The 18,774-nt window shown below is 48.5% G+C and overlaps 1 annotated feature.

The window, feature by feature from the left end:
• Window positions 6,715-7,272: an enhancer, noted in NCBI's record as "H3K27ac-H3K4me1 hESC enhancer chr12:6251513-6252070 (GRCh37/hg19 assembly coordinates)". NCBI's record gives its function as "activates a minimal SCP1, AML or CMV promoter by ChIP-STARR-seq in naive H9 embryonic stem cells {active_cell/tissue: H9 hESC(naive)}" and the evidence as "EXISTENCE:reporter gene assay evidence [ECO:0000049][PMID:30033119]".

Below are 18,774 nucleotides of genomic sequence, written 5' to 3'. Positions count from 1 at the left end.
AATCCACATTTAAAAACACAGATAAGAATTACACACACACGACTGGATGCGGTGGCTCACGCCTGTAATCCCAGCACTTTGGGAGGCCGAAGTGGGCGGATCACGAGGTCAGGAGATCTAGACCATCCTGGCTAACACGGTGAAACCCCGTCTCCCCTAAACAAAATACAAAAAATTAGCCGGGCATGGTGGCGGGCGCCTGTAGTCGTAGCTACTTGGGAGGCTGAGGCAGGAGAATGGCAGGAACCCAGAAGGCGGAGCTTGCAGTGAGCCGAGATCTCGCCACTACACTCCAGCCTGGGCGACAGTGTGAGACTCCGTCTCAAAAAAAAAAAAAAAAAAAAAAAAATTACAAACCACACACACCCTGGCTACTTTGGGTAAAAGAGTGCCAGAGAGGGTCAGTCACTTTCTCAAGATGGAGGAGGAAGCAGATAGAGCCTCAGACCTCCAGGACTCTATCTGAGACTTTTTTTTTTCTTTTTTCTTTTTTGAGATGGAGTCTTGCTCTGCCGCGCAGGCTAGAGTGCAATGGCGCAATCTCCACTCACTGCAACCTCCGCCTCCTGGGTTCAAGCAGTTCTTCTGCCTCAGCCTCCTGAGTAGCTGGGATTACAGACGCCAGCCACCACGCCCAGCTAATTTTCGTATTTTTAGTAGAGACAGGGTTTCACCATGTTGGCCGGGCTGGTCTCAAACTTCTGACCTCAGGTGATCGCGCGCCTCGGCCTCCCCACGTGCTGGGATTACAGGCATGAGCCACTGCGCCCAGCCCAAGACTTCTGTCATTTCCAAGATTTGTGATAAAATATATACGCTATTAGTTCAAGTCAAGAGTGTGATTATGTCTCACTGTTTGCTTGCTACAGGTCAGTATCTTAAACACTTTGGCTTTCTTCTTTGAGCAAGAGGTTCCATCCTTGGTGAATGGCTTGAAGGTGCTTGAAGGTGGCAGCTTGCTCAAGGCCCACAGTGGGGGATGCATTACATTTTCTGTGCAAATTATAGCAGGTAATTCAGTTTCACAGAGAGAAGCCAAAAATTTAGAACAACAGAAAACTTTGTCCTGTAGTATTTGAGGAAGAGGAATAAGATAAGTGTATTTTCCTTAAATCAACTCACCATCTGTAGTATGAAAGTCCATTTTAAATAGTTAATGATACTTATGTTTCAGGAAGGCACAGAGACAAGGAGAAAGTTCTCACGGCGTGTGAATGTGTGAGTAAAAGCCTCCTGTGAGAGGATGTGGCCTGGTTCACAAGAGAAATTTTCTGTGTCTCAAAGTAGAAGCCTGGAACTGTGGACTAATGAAATTATAGGCAGGGATTGCTTGGTCCAGCTCACATCATCCCAAGGCCTTTCCCCACCAATCAAGTCTGAACTAAAAGGATTTTGCTTGTATCTTAGAGTAAATCAGGAAGAGCTCAGCCAGAGACCCTGGGGTCCTTCAGTTTTGCAAGATGCAAATTGGGAGAATCCTAGAAGAGGTGTCCTTCCCTAAAGTCCTTTCCAACTGTGAGACCTGATGCCTTCACTTTGGGATTTGGGAGCTGAACCATAAGGAAGACTGAACAGGATCAGGAATAGGCAGTGGGAGCAGAGAGCACTGGGCCAGGAGTTGGAGGGCAAGGAGTAAGCATAGGCTGTTTGACTCCCTCGCTGCGTGGCCTCTGGCAAGTCACTTTGTTACAGGACTCCACCATTTACCCAAAGGTAGCCGTTGGGTCAGGGTTTCTGTACTATAGTGCCTTCTGTGTTCGCCAGAAATATGTTACAGGAAAGGGGGTCCCGATCCAGACCCCAAGAGAGGGTTCTTGGATCTCGAGCAAGGAAGAATTCAGGGTGAGTCCGCAGTGCAAAGGCAAAGCAAGTTTATTAAGGAAGTAAAGTGGTGAAAGAACATCCACTCCATAGACACAGTAGGACGTTCCCGAAAGTAAGAGGAGGAACGCATCCAACCTACGTACAATGCTTGTATATATGGGGAGATGTGCTCTGCTACAAGGTTTGTGATAAAGGATTAATTTTCTTAATTACTATATTTTGCAGGAATTGATATTATTATCTTTAAAGCAAAATTAGGAATACCTTTGTTCAGCTGGGCACAGTGGCTCACGCCTGTAATCCCAGCACTTTAGGAGGTTGAGGTGGGTGGATCATGAGGTCAGGAGTTCAATACCAGCCTGGCCAACATGGCGAAACCCTGTCTCTACTAAAAATACAAAAATTAGCCGGGTGTGGTGGTGGGCGCCTGTAATCCCAGCTACTTGGAAGGCTGGGGCAGGGAATTGCTTGAATCTGGGAGGCAGAGTTTGCAGTGAGCCGACATCGTGCCACTGCACTCCTGCCTGGTCAACAGAGTAAGACTCCGTCTCAAAAAAAAAAAAAAAAAAGGAATACCTTTGTACCAGGTTATCTGGACACTCCCAAGTCTGGGCCTGTTCAGTAAACACGATTAATTTGTTCCCTTAACTGTAAACATGCAGAGGCTAATAATGCCTAACTTTCTGAGAATGCAGCCCAGCAAGTCTCAGCCTCATTTTCCTAGTCCTCACTCAAAATGGAGTCATTCTGGTTCGAATGCCTCTGACAACTTTGCTGAGCATTCACTTCTTCATGTGCAAATTGGGAACAATACTGCCTGCTCTTGCTAACTCATGGTGGTAGCGTAAGGCTCTAATGAAGTCTGGTCTGGGAAATTGCCCTGAAAACCAAAATGCATCGCAGAAAGGAGTAACGTTTCATCTGACCCCTTCCTACCTCTCCAGCCCTGTCGTCCACCATGCTTCCCCTGATCTGTGTTGCAGCCACAGACTGTCTTTCAGTGTCTTGGTAGGTAGCCTCCTCCTGCAGCTGGGCCTTTGCACGTGCTATTCCCATGGCCTGAAGTGTGCCCACCAACCTTTGCCTGGCTTTACTCCTACTCATCCCATAGAACTCAGTTCAGTTGTACCTCTTCAGGGAGGACTTCTCTGCCCACACCCCCCGGCCCTCTCAGTTTGGGTGGGAATCTATTACTTGTATGCCTCCCTGGCACCACGTGTCTTACTCTCATCACTGTTTGTAGTTATAATTTGTTTGGATTAATGTCGGTCCTGTCAACAGATCATAAGCTCCATGAGGGCAGAGAATGGTGTGTTTTTTCACTCACCTTCATATCCCAAGAGCCTAGCCCAGATACCAAATAAATACTAGCGGTTGTAGAGTAGGTCCGGGAAATCTAGGTAGCAGGGATTCTGAATTTAGGTTTCTGGATGAGGGTGCTGGGAATGAGACACCCAGCAAGAGAAGTCTCCTCTCTGAATTAGCCTGGTGTTTGCACCTTTTTTCCCCTCCCTTTAGGCAAAGCTGTGCTACACTATGTAATGTCATGCTGGTGTCTGTCTGTCTGTATGTATTTATTTGAGAGTGAGTCTCTTTCTGTTGCCCAGGCTGGAGTGCGGTGGCGTGACCTCGCTTCACCGCAACTTCTGCCTCCCGGGTTCCAGCAATTCTCCTGCCTCAGCCTCCTGAGTAGCTGGGATTATAGGCATCTCCACCATGCCCGGCTAATTTTGTATTTTTAGTAGAGACGAGGTTTCTCCATGATGGTCAGGCTGGTCTCGAACTCCTGACCTCAGGTGATCTGCCTGCCTCAGCCTCCCAAAGTGTTGGGATTAGAGGCATGAGCCGCTGCACCTGGCCAGAAAAAAATCTTTAATCCTGCAGCTGAGGAGTGGAGATGGGAGCCCAGTCTCAAACCCATCTCCCTGACCTACAAAAAGTAAGGGTTTATGTAGCAGGGAAGAAATGTAACAATGCCTACGAAAACAGGAACTAGGGAGGGGCAAGGAAACAATCATGATGAATGAGGGGTCTGGGCATTTCCTTGTCTGGATGTGGTGATCTGGTGAGTTTCAGTTCTTTGATACTTTTTTTTAGAGGCCTGAAGGTCTTTTCCTGAGGAGGGAACTCAGATAAAACAAATTAAGTTTTTCAAGCTTTAAGACTAGAAAAAAGGCCGGGCGTGGTGGCTTTAAGACTAGAAAAAAGGCCGGGCGCGGTGGCTCACGCCTGTAATCCCAGCACTTTGGGAGGCCGAGGCAGGAGGATCACGAGGTCAGGGATCGAGACCACCCTGGCAAAGACGGTGAAACCCCATCTCTACTAAAAATACAAACAATTACCCGGGCGTGGTGGCAGGCGCCTGTAATCCCAGCTACTCGGGAGGCTGAGGCAGGAGAATGGCGTGAACCCGGGAGGCGGAGCTTGCAGTGAGCTGAGATCGCGCCTCTGCCCTCCAGCCTGGGCGACAGAGCGAGACTCCGTCTCAAAAAAAGAAAAAAAAAAAAAAAAAAAGACTAGAAAACAAAGACTAGAAAAGTCAATTTCGATGCTTATCCAAAAAAAAAAAAAAAACCTATCTATGGGATGATTGGGTCGGTTTCATTATAAACACAACCACACTCCTCTCATAGTCCCTCAGCCTCTCCCCTGTCCCTAGCCCTAATCTGTTCTCCATTTCTGTAATTTATATAAATGAAATTATACAGGATATAACCTTTGGGGATTGGCTGTTTTTCACTCAGCATAATTCCCTGGAGATTCATCCACGTTGCGTGTATCAGTAATTTGTTCTCTTTTTTTTTTTTTGAGACGGAGTCTCCGTCTGTCGCCCAGGCTGGAGTGCAGTGACGCGATCTCGGCTCACTGCAAGCTCCGCCTCCCGGGTTCACGCCATTCTCCTGCCTCAGCCTCCCGAGTAGCTGGGACTACAGGCGCCCGCCACCACGCCCAGCTAATTTTTTATAGTTTTAGTAGAGACGGGGTTTCACCGTGTTAGCCAGAATGGTCTGGATTTCCTGACCTCGTGACCCGCCCGCCTCGGCCTCCCAAAGTGCTGGGATTACAAGCATGAGCCACCGCGCCCAGCCTCTTCCAGTTTTTGTCATTGCAAATAAAGCTTCTGTGAACATTTGGCCGGGCGCGGTGGCTCACGCCTGTAATCCCAACACTTTGAGAGGCCGAGGCGGGCGGATCACGAGGCTAGGAGATCGAGACCATCCTGGCTAACACGGTGAAAACCCGTGTCTACTAAAAATACAAAAAATTAGCCGGGCATGGTGGTGGCGGGTGCCTGTAGTCCCAGCTACGCAGGAGGCTGAGGCAGGAGAATGGCATGAACCGAGATCGCGCCACTGCACTCCAGCCTGGGTGACAGAGCGAGATTCTCTCTCAAAAAAAAAAAAAAAAACCTTCTGTGAACATTCACGTACAATATTTAACATGAAACTATTTAGATTTCTCTGGCATAAATGCCCAAAAATGCAATAATAGGGTTTAACCATTGTTTTTTGTTTTTGTTTGAGACAGAGTCTCACTCAGTCACCCGTTCTGGAGTGTAGTGGCACTATCTTGGCTCACTGCAACCTCCGCCTCCCAGGTTCAAGCAGTTCTCCTTCCTCAGCCTCCCAAGTAGCTGGGATTACAGGTGCACGCCAAAATGCCTAGCTAATTTTTTTTTTTTTGTATTTTTAGTAGAGATGGGGTTTTACCATGTTGGCCAGGCTTGTCTCGAACTCCTGACCTCAAGTGATCCGCCCACCTCGGCCTGCCAAAGTGCTGGGATTACAGGTGTGAGCCACCGGGCCAGCCCGTTTGTTTGCTTTTTGAGACAGGGTCTTACTCTGTTGTCCAGGCTGGAATGCAGTGGTGCTGAGGTAGGAGGCAGGATCTTACTCTGGACCAGATTGAAGATTGGCTGAAACAGGGAAGAGGCGGGGAAAACACCTCTCCATGACATGCCCACCAGTTGGCTGGGCATGGTGGCTCCCGCCTGTAATCGTAGCACTTTGGGAGGTAGAGGTGGGCGGACCACTTGAGGTCAAGAGTTTGAGACCAGCCTGGCCAACATGGTGAAACCCCATCTCTACTAAAAATACAAAAATTAGTAGGGCGTGGTGGTGGGCACCTGTAATCCCAGCTACTCAGGAGGCCGAGGCCAGAGAATCACTTGAACCTGGGAGACAGATGTTGCAGTGAGCTGAGATTGCACCATTGCACTCTAGCCTATGAGACAGAGCAAGACTCCAGCTGGGGGGGGGGGGGGGGGGGAAAGACCTGACAACCAATTCCATGTCAGTTTACCATTGCCATGGCAACACACAGAAGTTACCACCTCTTTTCATGGCAACCACGTGAAAGTTACCACCATTTTTCTAGAAATTTCTGAATAACCCATACTGCGTCTGGAATTGGTGGGTTCTTGGTCTCACTGACTTCAAGAATGAAGCCACAGACCCTCGTAGTTAACAGCTCTTAAAGTGGCACATCTGGAGTCTGTGTCTTCTGACTTTCAGATGTGTTCAGAGTTTCTTCCTTCTGGTGGGTTCATGATCTCCCTGGCTCAGGATTGAAGCTGCAGACCTTTGCGGTGGGCGTTACCACTCTTAAGGCAGTGCATCTGGAGTTGTTCGTTCCTCCCGGTGGGCTCGTGGTTTTGCTGGCCTCAGGAGTGAAGCTGCAGATCTTCACGGTGAGAGTTACAGATCTTAAAAGCAGTGTGCACCCAGAGTGAGCAATAGCAAGATTTATTGCAAAGAGCAAAAGAACGAAGCCTTCACACTGTGGAAGGGGACCGGAGCGGGTTGCCAATGCTGGCTCCGGCAGCCTGCTTTTATTCTCTTATCTGGCCCCACCCACATGCTGCTGATTGGTAGAGCCGAGTGGCCTGTTTTAACAGGGCGCTGATTGGTGCGTTTACAATCCTTGAGCTAGATACAAAGGTTCTCCACGTCCCCATCAGATTAGTTAGATACAGAGTTTCCACACAGAGGTTGTCCAAGGCCCCAGCAGAGCAGCTAGATACAGAGTGTCGATTGGTGCACTCACAAATCTTGAGCTAGACACAGGGTGCTGATTGGTGTGTTTACAATCCCTGAGCTAGATATAAAAACTCTCCACGTCCCCACCAGACTCAGGAGCCCAGCTGGCTTCACCTAGTGGATCCCGCACCTGGGGCTGCAGGTGGAGCTGCCTGCCAGTCCCGCGCTGTGCGCTCTCATTCCTCAGCTCTTGGGTGGTCGATGGGACTGGGCGCCGTGGAGCAGGGGGTGGTGCTCGTCGGGGAGGCTTGGGCCACACGGGAGCCCATGGAGTGGGTGGGAGGCTCAGGCATGGCAGGCTGCAGGTCCCGAGCCCTGCCCCGCGGGAAGGCAGCTAAGGCCCGGCGAGAAATCGAGCGCAGCGCCGGTGGGCCAGCACTGCTGGGGGACCCAGTACACCCTCCACAGCTGCTGGCCCGGGTGCTAAGTCCCTCATTGCCCGGGGCCAGCAGGGCTGGCCGGCTGCTCTGAGTGTGGGGCCCGCCAAGCCCACGCCCACCCGGAACTCCAGCTGACTCGCAAGCGCGGCACGCAGCCCTGCTTCCTGCTCGCGCCTCTCCCTCCACACCTCCCTGCAAGCTGAGGGAGCGGGCTCCAGCCTTGGCCAGCCCAGAAAGTGGCTCCCACAGTGCAGTGGGGGGCTGAAGGGCTCCTCAAATGCCGCCAAAGTGGGAGCCCAGGCAGGGGAGGTGCTGAGAGCAAGCAAGGGCTCTGAGGACTGCCAGCACGCTGTCACCTCTCAATACCTTAACTTGCAAGTAATTGAAAGTGGGTATATGTATGACTGTTGACCTGCCCCTGAGCTGGTGCTCTCAACACATTGCCTAGGGGTTAGCCCTGCTCTGCAGGAGTAGTCATAAAGTTGTCACACTGCTGCCTCCATAAAGCTGTTTTCTTCTACCACCAGCTGGCTCTTGAATTCTTTCCTGAGCAAAGCCAAGAATCTTCCAGGGCTAAGTCCCAATTTGGGAGCTTACTTGCCCTGCATCAGTGCAATCATAGCTCACTGCAGCCTGGAACTTCGGGGCTCAAGCAATCCTCCTGCCTGAGCCTCCTGAATAGCTAAGATGACAGATGTGTGCCACTACACCTGGCTAATTTTTTCTTTTTTTTGTAGACATGAGGTCTCACTTTGTTGCCTAGGCTGATCATTGTTTTTAAAATTTCTATCTTTACTGATTTTTATCTGCCTGACCTATGGATAATTGAGAAAGCCTTTTTGAAGTCAATTGTCAATTTATGTATTTTGAAGCTATTTTGTAAGATGCATATAAATTTGAGTTGCTGTAACTTTCTGCCTCTCAAATTAGAACCCCAGGTCTTGAGATAGTGATTCTGGGGTCAGGAATCCTGCTGTGCTACTACTGGGGCCAGGAATGCCACCAGATGTAATGGTCTGAGTTCTCTGTAGCTCGATAGCAGCAATAATGTGGTGTCATTGTTCCTGAGAACCAGGGAAGATGAGTCTGAAGCTGCACCATTCTTCTGACATTGTAGCGTGGGTGGGTCCTCTCTATTTTGATGATTGTGAAGGAAGTGAGCATGTTATTCTTGCACAAGATGTTTGTCTTTAGAAGAGAGGAAGTAGAGGAGGACAGCTTCCTCTCCGCTGGGGGCTACAGCTTTATGCTGGGAGCTGGTCGTCTGGCCTAAGAAATACTGCTGTGTTTATTTATTTGGCGCATACTGCCAAGAAAATTCTCTTTCCTGCAGAATTTACGTAAGAGAGATGCTACAAATATACAAAGAAAAGACAAAGATGGGTCCTCCTAGAAAACCTTTCCTCCCCTGAGGTTCTTTTGCTTTTGTACTAGTTACCTGGAGAACTTACTCCTCAGACAGGCAGAGGTCAATTTACCCATCCCCCTGCCTCTGAGCAGCCCTGCCCCATGCGCCCCCAGAGGTCACGCACCCTTCCCATTTGTACTTAATGCTGTTTACATCAGCCCAAGTTCTAATGGCTCTCATACTGTGGTCCTCAGGGATCCTTCTTCCTTGAGCCTCACAGCACTAATTGTCCTCTAACTTATTTGGCAAAGCTGCCTTGGGACACCCTCCATGAGGGCAAGGGAGCAGGTTGTGTGGCATGATATCTTGGCCTATATTAGTTTTCTATTGCTGCAGTGACAAATGACCACAAGCTTAGTGGCCTGAAACAACACAAATTTATCTTACAATTCGTAATTGTAAGAAGCTCGAATTGGATCAAAATCAAGGTGTGTTGGAAGAGCTGGATTCCTTCTGTAGGTTCTATGGGAGAACCTGTTCTTCGCCTCTATCCACTTCCAGGGGCACACATTCCTTGCCTCGTGGCCCCGCGTTGCATGACCTCTGCTCGCATCATCACATCTCCTTCCCTGATGCTGACCCTCCTGCTCCTCTTATAAAAACTCTTGTGATTATATCGGCCCAGCAGGATACTCTGGGGTAAGCCAGGATCATCTCCCCATCTCAAGACCCTTAACTTGCTCACATCTGCAAAATCCCTTTTGCCATGTAAGGTAGCATTCAGAGGTTTGAGATGGGATGTAGACATCTTTGGCTGTTCTTCTGCTACCGTAATGTGTTACGTGGTTGGCTGTATCTGCTCTTCTCTTGTCAAACCCATGGTCTCCTCCAGGCCCTCGTCTTCCCTGTCCGGGAAGGTTCCACCAACCACTAATGGATCTCCCTTTCTCCATCTGACCTCTCACAATACATGCCACTGCTGCCAGAGGGCCTCATCTGGTGTCACAGGATGAACATAAACCCCTACACTGGTTGAAGGTCCCTGAGGACTTGCCTCTTATTCCTCTCTTTGGTCTCTTTTCCTGTGAGTCTCCTTTATAGGCTGTAACAACTGGCTTATTCACCTACTTACTGATTTAGCATCTCAGAGCTTGCCTGCTTCTAAGCTTTTACTTCCTTCCTTGCAGCTGATGTGCCTTTGCCCTCATTTTCACCTGGCAAAATCCTACTCAGCAAATGGGTAATTAAACCATTGCAACCATTATAAACCATTGCAATTTTTCAGGGGGGCCATTTGGCCTTATTGTCAAAGGCCTCACTGAAAATGTGGACGGTGGCTGACCCAGTGCTCCACATGTAGGATTTCATCCTGTGGGAGTAATCCTGAGGGTTGTGCATGGATATAGCTTCAAAGATGTTCACTGCAGCATTGTTAATTAAAAAAAAAAAAAAGTAGGCCGGGAGTGGTGGCTCACGCCTGTAATCCCAGCACTTTGGGAGGCAGAGGCGGGCGGATCACGAGGTCAGGAGATTGAGGCCATCCTGGTTAACGCGGTGAAACCCTGTCTCTACTAAAAATACAAAAAATTAGCCGGGTGTAGTGGCGGGTGCCTGTAGTCCCAGCTACTCGGGAGGCTGAGGCAGGAGAATGGCATGAACCCAGGAGGTGGAGCTTGCAGTGAGCCGAGATTGCGCCACTGCACTCCAGCCTGGGTGACAGAGCGAGACTGCATCTCAAAAAAAAAAAAAAAAAAAAAAAAGTAGCACTAACCTAAATAAATATCCCATAATATGGAACTGGTTACATAAATTGTGGAATATCAGTAAGTGAACTATTCCAGCCAAGTGTGTTATACTCTGATAAAACAGACACTTGAGTGTTATTTAGAAATAGTGCCAGAGTGTCATATGAGTTACAGGCGCAGAATACCACATGGGAACGTGACCCCAGTCTGATGTCCCTGCCCCCTTGCAGAGCCATCCTGTGACTTTCACCGTGCAATTTCCCCAACCACAGTGACGAGTGCTATCTTCTGTGCTGATGATTTGGAGAGCAGGCAACAACTTCCTTGGGTATTAAGCAATTTTTTTTATCTGCAGTTTCAGTTCTGTAGCTACATTTTAATATTATATGCTAATTAACCCACATCATTGTTCTACTAGCAGGGAGTTCAACAGACATTTATGGAGCACTTACCATGTGCTATGCTCCAGACAGAGCACTTTGGAAGATACAGAGATGAGTAAGGCAAGGTCTTGTTCTAAGGAGAGCTCAGACTGGAGGAGATAAGACAAACAAAAATGCATGAAAAGGCTGGGAGCGGTGGCTCATGCCCATAATCCTAACACTTTGGGAGGACGAGGCGGGCAGATCACGAGGTCAGGAGATCAAGACCATCCTGGTAACACGGTGAAACCTCGTCTCTACTAAAAATATAAAAACAAAAAATTAGCTGAGTGTGGCGGTGGGCGTCTGTAGTCCCAGCTACTCGGGAGGCTGAGGTGGGAGAATGGCGTGAACCAGGGAGGCAGAGGTTGCAGTGAACCAAGATCGCGCCATTGCACTCCAGCCTGGGCAACAGAGCGAGACTCCGTCTCAAAAAAAAGAAAAATGCATGAAAAGATGAGAGGGCCACAGAAGCACCCAGAGGTGGTTCAAAGGCAGGAAAAGCGGGGGTGAAGGGTGGGAGGAAAGGAGAAAAGGCTTATGGAAGAGTTATAGGTATAGTGGAGAAAACACGGACTTTGTAATCAGGTAGATTCAGATGCTGGCTGCCTTTGGTAGCAGTGTGATCCTAGGCAAGGCCCTTACCCTGTCTGAGCCTCAGCATCCTCAACTATAAAATGAGAGTAACGCTCTCTTTCCCTCAAACGGTTGTTAGAAGGTACAGTGGATTGAATGGTGACCCCCAAAAGACATGTCCACATTCTAACTCCTGGACCCTGTGAATGTGACCTTACTTGGAAAAAGGCTTTTTGCAGATGTAATTAAGGATGTCAAGATAGATCACCCTAGATTACTAGATCCTTAGGCGGGGTGTGGTGGCTCACGCCTGTAATCCCAGCACTTTGGGAGGCCGAAGTGGGCAGATCACTTGAGGCCAGGAGTTTGAGACCAGACTGGCTAACATGGCAAAACCCTGTCTACTAAAAATACCAAAAAAAAAAAAAAAAAAAAAAAAGGCTGGGTGTGGTGGTGGTGCCTGTAATCCCAGCTACTCGGGAGGCTGAGGCAGGAGAATCACTTGAACCTCGGAGGTGAAGGCTGCAGTGAGTCAAGATTGTGCCACTGCAATCCAGCCTGGGTGATAGAGTGAGACTCCACCTTGACAAAAACAAAGAGGCTGGGTGCGGTGGCTCTCGCCTGTAATCCCAGCACTTTGGGAGGCTGAGGCGGGTGGATCACCTGAGGTCAGGAGTTCAAGACCAGTCTGGGCAACATGGTGAAACCCTGTCTCTACTAAAAATACAAAAATCCGCTGGGTGTGTTGGCACGTACCTGTAATCCTGGTTACCTGGAAGGCTGAGGCAAGAGAATCACTTGAGCCAGGTAGGCAGAGGTTGCAGTGAGCTGAGATTGCACCATTGCACTCCAGCCTGGGTGACAGTGAGACTCCGACTCAAACAAACAAAAAAACCAAAAAAAGATTACTAGGTCCTTCCAGATTACTTAGATTCAATGTCAGGTGTTCTTATAAGAAATATACAGTGGGAGACACACAGGGAGATGAGGAGAGAGCCATGTGAAGACAGAGGCTGAGATTAGAGTGATGCTGCCACAAGCCAAGGAAAGTCTGAAGCCACCAGAAGCTGGAAGAGGTGAGGAAGGTCTCTCCCTTACAGCCTTTGTGGACACCTTGATTTCAGACTTCTTCCTTTCAAAACTGTGGGAGAAGACATTTGTGCTGTTCTAAGCCACTCGGTTTGTGGTGATTTGTTACGGCAGCACTGGGACACTCACAGAGGAGGATGAAGTAACACAGTGTTCACAAGCAGCTAGCAGAGTATCTGGTACTTGCAAGGTGTTCACCAAATGACAAATTCTCCCTCTGCAGGAGGGGGACATGGAAGGATGAACAGGAGAGAGGAGGAGTGGGGAGGAGGCAGGACATTTGGATGGTGGAACAGTGTGAGCTGAACACAAGAGGTGTCTGGGAAGCAATGCCTCCGGGGACCAATCAGACATTCTGGGGTGCAGGGTGTGGGGTCAGGGTGGACGTGGGCGTGTGCTCAGCAAGGGTGCAGGAGGAAGGCACGTGTGCTGACTGTTGGATGGGAGGTTGGAGAAGAAGGGCCCACCGAAAGGGAAAGAGGCAGGCTGCTGGGGCTCCTCCTCGCCCTGGGGCCTTCCACCTGGGCTGCTCCTGCCTGGCCTCTAGTGCCTTGGTGCTCCTGGTGGAGCTGAAGCAGTGCTTGAGGCCATGCCAGAGGAAAGTCGCTGGGCTGCTGGTCATTAAAGGAGTCATAATGGGCTTGGGAAGAAGGAAGCAGCAAGTGGGATGGAGTGAAGATTTCAGATCCTTGAGTTTGTTTACTGAGCACCTGGTAACCCCCTGGATTCTTCTGTCAACCTGGCTATGAACATGTAATCAAGGATGGCAAGATAGATCATCCTAGATTACTAGATCCTTAGGTCAGGCATGGTGGCTCACACCTGTAATCCCAGCACTTTGGGAGGCCGAGGTGGGCGGATCACCTGAGATCAGGAGTTTGAGACCAGCTTGACCAACATAGTAAAACCCAGTCTTTATTAAAAAGTACAAAAGTTAGCTGGGTGTGGTGGCACATGCCTGTAATCTCAGCCACCTGGGAGGCTGAGGCAGGAGAATGGCGTGAACCTGGGAGGCGGAGCTTGCAGTGAGCCGAGATCTCGCCACCGCACTCCAGACTGGGTGACAGAGCAAGACTCCATATCAAAAAAAAAAAAAAAAAAAAGAAAAAGAAAAAGAACATGAGATGATTCCTCAAACTCCTGTACATCAAAAAACAAACAACAAAAAAAACCCTCATCAATATATATTAAAGTGAAGAACTGAAAAAAAAAATCCTCATATCAATGTGAGAAAACACTAACATTTTTAATCTTTAAAGAGCTTTTATAGATCAATATAGATAAGCATCTCAGTTAAAAATGAGCTAAAGACATGAACAAGAAATTCACAAAAGAAGAAATACACATCGACAATGTTAGAAAATGTTCTCCCAATAATGAAAGGAATGAGTATTAAAGTAACAATCTTTTTTTTTTTTTAAGACGGAGTCTTGCTCTGTCGCCCAGGCTGGAGTGCAGTGGCGTGATCTCAGCTCTCTGCAAGCTCCGCCTCCCGGGTTCACGCCATTCTCCTGCCTCAGCCTCCCGAGTAGCTGGGACTACAGGCGCCCGCCACCGTGCCCCGCTAATTTTTTTTGTATTTTTAGTAGAGACGGGGTTTCACCGTGGTCTCCATCTTCTGACCTCGTGATCCACCCACCTCAGCCTCCCAAAGTGCTGGGATTACAGGCGTGAACCATGGCGCCTGGCCTAAAGTAATAATCTTATAATAGTTTTTGCCACTTACATTACCAAATCTGTAATAAAAAATAATAATGCTATAGAAGGGTAAATTGGTAAAGTTCTTGGGAGGATATATAAAAGGCTTAATTTTTGTGCCCTTTGACCGAGCAATTTCTTTTACTTCTAGGAATTTGTTTCAAGGAAATGGGCTGTGTGTGTGAGGATTTATGTACAGGATGTTGGTCACCCTGCTATTTGTAAGGCAAAGCCAATATTTCCACGTCACTTGGCTTCAGAGCTTTATCTTTTAAGTGAAACTTTCAACCACAGAGAAAACTAAAGAGGATAATGCAGAAACACCCATGTTCTAGCCAGCTTGCTGCATGTTAACATTTTGCCATATTTGCTTTATACTTTTGAAATAATTAACAAAATATTTACAGAGAGGTATGGCCCCCTAGGTCCCACTCTCTGGATTCCATCTTCTCTTTTCTTCCCTAGAGGTAACTAGTATCCCGAATTTACAGGTTATCACTCCACCTGCATGTTTTACTGTAAGTAAACGTATTTATTTATTCATTTATTTTTTGAGACAGAGTCTCAATCTGTTGCCCAGACTGTTGTGCAATGGCATGATTACGGCTCACTGCAGCCTCGAACTCCCGGGCTCAAGTGATCCTCTTACCTTAGCCTCCCGAGTAGCTGGGACTAGAGATGCACACCATCATACCCGGCTAGTTGTTTTTTTTTTTCCCCATAAAAATGAGGTTGCTGTATGTTACCCAGGCTGATCTTGAACTCCTGGCCTCAAGCAATCCTCCTGCCTTGGCTTCCCAAAGTGCTGGGATTACAGGTGTAAGCCACCATGATTAGCCAATTAAACATATTTGTAAGCAATAATATATAGTTTTATTTTACATGGTTTTTACCTTTATGTAAATGGTACGTATCCTCTGATCCTTGCTTTTGTTTTTTGTTCACCATTATTTTGGGGGGTTTTCCATGTTAATACATGTAGCCTAGATTATTTTTAATTGCTATTTGTTATTTCACTGGATGAACATACAATTTATTAATTCTTCTATTGAAGTATATTTAGCCTGGTTGTTTACACATCTCTGACTGCAGACTCTGCTGCAGTAAACATTCTGTGCATGCTGGTTGGTGCACATGCGTGAAAGTTTCTCTAGGGGATACGCCTATGCATGCAGTCACAAGACTGTGGGGAAGAGCATCTTTACATTTTATAGATATATTTCCACACTTTCTCCAAAGTGCTTTACCTGTTGTCCTCAGCAACATATAGGAATTTCAGGAGCCCCTCCTTGCCATTCTGAGAAGTGGGTAACTAATTGTGGTTTTATTTTAGATTTCCCTCATGACCAGCAAAGTTGAACAGGTTTTGGGTTTTTTTTTTTTTTTTAAAGATGGTGATTTGCTCTTGCTCTTGTGCCCAGGCTGGAGTGCAATGCTGTGATGTTGGCTCGCTGTGACCTCTGCCTCGCGAGTTCAAGTGATTCTCCTGCCTCAGCCTCCCGAGTAGCTGAGTCTGTGTCTGGAATTCGTGGGTTCTCGGTCTGGCTGACTTCGAGAATAAAGACGCAGACCCTCGCGGTGTTTGTTACAGTTCTTAATGGCGGCGTGTCCCGAGTTTGTCCCTTCTGATGTTCCAATGTGTTGGGAGTTTTTCCTTTTTGGTGGGTTCGCAGTCTTGCTGACTCAGCAATAAAGCTGCAGACCTTCGCTGTTGAGTGTTGCAGCTCTTAAGACAGCGCATCCAGAGTTCTTCGTTTCTCCTGGTGGGTTCATGTTTTCCGTAGCTTCAGGACTAAAGCTGTATATCTTTGCAGTGAGCGTCACAGCTTATAAAGGCAGTGTGATCCCAAAGAATAACCAGCACTAAAATTTATTACAAAGAACAAAGCACCTAAAAGGTGGAAAAGAATCCAAACGGGTTACCAGGGCTGGAGCTGGCAGCCTGCTTTTATTCTCTTATCTGGCCCCACCTACATCCTGCTGATTGGTCCATTTTACAGAGAGCCGATTGGTCTGTTTTACAGAGAGCTGATTGGTCAGTTTTGACAGGGTGCTGATTGGTGCGTTTACAATCCCTGAGGTAGACACAAAAGTTCTCCATGTCCCCACTAGATTAGCTAGATACAGAGTGTGGATTGGTGTATTTACAAACCCTGAGCTAGATACAGAGTGCTGATTGGTGCTTTTACAAACCTTGAGCTAGATACAGAGTGCTGATTGGTGCATTCATAATCCCTTAGCTAGACATAAAGATTCTCTAAGGCCCCACCAGATTAACTAGATACCGAGTGCCGATTGGTGCATTCACAAACCCTGAGCTAGACACAGGGTGCTTATTGGTGTGTTTACAAACTTTGAGCTAGATACAAAGTGCTGATTGGTGTATTTACAATCCCTTAGCTAGCCATAAAGGTACTCCAAGTCCCCACCAGATCAGCTAGACACAGAGTGCTGATTGGTGCATTCACAAACCTTGAGCTAGACAGAGTGCTGATTGGTGTATTCTCAATCCCTTAGCTAGACAAAAAGGTTTTTCAAGTCCCCACCACACTCAGGAGCCCAGCTGGCTTCACCCAGTGGGTCCCGCACTGGGGCCGCAGGTGGAGCTGCCTGCCAGTCCCGCGCAGTGCGCCGGCACTACTCAGCTCTAGGGCGGTCGATGGGACCTGGCGCCCTGGAGCAGGGGGCGGCGCTCCAGGGAGGCAGCTAAGGCCTGGCGAGAAATCGAGCACAGCACCTGCTGGCCCAGGTGCTAAGCCCCTCACTGCCCGCGGCTGGCCGGCCGCTCCGAGTGGGGGGCCCGCTGAGCCCACGCCCATCCGGAACTCGCGCTGGCCCGCAAGCGCCGCTGCGCAGCCCCGGTTCCCGCCCGCGCCTCTCCCTCCACACCTCCCTGCAAGCTGAGGGAGCCGGCTCCAGCCTTGGCCAGCCCAGAAAGGGGCTTCCACAGCGCAGCAGCGGGCTGAAGGGGGGCTCCTCAAGTGCGGCCAGAGTGGGCGCCAAGGCCAAGGAGGCGCCCAGAGCCAGCGAGGGCTGGGAGGGCTGCCAGCAGGCTGTCACCTCTCAGGACTACAGGTGCGCCACCACGCCTCGTTAATTTTTGTATTTTTACTAGGTGTTTCACCGTGTTGTTCAGGCTGGTCTCGAACTCCTGACCTCCGGTGATCCTGCCGCTTAAGCCTCCCAAAGTGCTGGGATTACCAGGCGTGAGCCATCACGCCCGACCTGGTTTTGGTATGTTTACTGGCCAACTGCGTTTCCTCCTTTTCTGTAGATTGTCTTTCCATATCACTCTCTATTGCCACTGGGTTGTTTGTCCATTTCTTTTTCTATTTTTTTTTTTGATACGGAGTCTTGCTCTGTCGCCCAGGCTGGAGTGCAGTGGCACAATCTGGGCTGACTGCAATCTCCGCCTCCCGGGTTCACACCCTTCTCCTGCCTCAGCCTCCTGAGTAGCTGGGACTACAGGCGCCCACCACCACACCCGGATAATTTTTTATATTTTTAGTAGAGACAGGGTTTCACCGTGTTAGGATGGTCTCAATCTCCTGACCTTGTGATCCGCCCGCCTTGGCCTCCCAAAGTGCTGGGATTACAGGCGTGAGCCACCGTACCTGGCCATTTTTTTTTTAGACGGAGTTTCGGTCTTGTTGCCCAGCCTGGAGTGCAATGGTGGGATCTCGCCTCACCCCAATCTCTGCCTCCCTGTTCAAGCCATTCTCCTGTCTCAGCCTCCTGAGTAGCTGGGATTACAGGCATGCACCACCACGTCCGGCTAATTTTGTATTGTTAGTAGAGACAGGCTTTCTCCATGTTGATCAGGCTGGTCTTGAACTCCTGACCTCAGGTGATCTGCCCTCCTTGGCCTCCCAAAGTGCTGGGATTACAGGCGTGAGCCACCGCGCCCGGCCACATTTGAAATTGTTTTTAACTATTCTTTTTTTTTTTGTTTTTGAGACAAGAGTCTCGCTCTGTCGCCCAGGCTGGAGTGCAGTGGCGCAATCTTGGCTCACTGCAAGCTCCGCCTCCCGGGTTCACGCCATTCTCCTGCCTTAGTCTCCCGAGTAGCTGGAACTACAGGCGTTTTTAACTATTCTTGATATTTTGCTTCCCATATGGAGTTTAGGATCAGCTTGTCTAATTATATGAAAAACCCTGTTGGATTGAAATTGTATTTAATTTATTGATTAATCTGAGGATATTTGGCATCTTTACAATATTGTGACTTAGTAAATATGAACACAGCATGTCTCTTCATTGGGTTTTCTTTTATGTCTTGGGACAAGATTTATGATTTTCTCTGTAATATTGGACAGTTTTTTTTTTGTTTTTGTTTTTTTGTTTTTTTTTTTTTGAGACAGAGTCTTGCTTTGTTGTCCAGGCATGATCTAGGCTCACTGCAACCTCTGCCTCTCTGGTTCAAACGATTCTCCTGCCTCAGTCTCCCCAATAGATGGGATTACAGGCATGCGCCACCACACCTGGCTAATTTTTTGTATTTTTAGTAGAGACGGGGTTTCACCATGTTGGCAAGGCTGGTCACAAACTCCCGACCTCAAGTGATCCGCCCACCTCGGCCTCCCAAAATGCTGGGATTATATGTGTGAGCCACCACGCCCGGCCTATTCTATTTATTCTTAAGTATCTGCAGTA

The sequence above is a fragment of the Homo sapiens genome, chromosome 12 (assembly GCF_000001405.40).
Source record: "Homo sapiens chromosome 12, GRCh38.p14 Primary Assembly".
Lineage (NCBI taxonomy): Eukaryota > Metazoa > Chordata > Mammalia > Primates > Hominidae > Homo > Homo sapiens.
The sequence above is the reverse complement of the archived record's forward strand: the minus strand, read 5'-3'. Positions and strand labels throughout refer to the sequence as shown.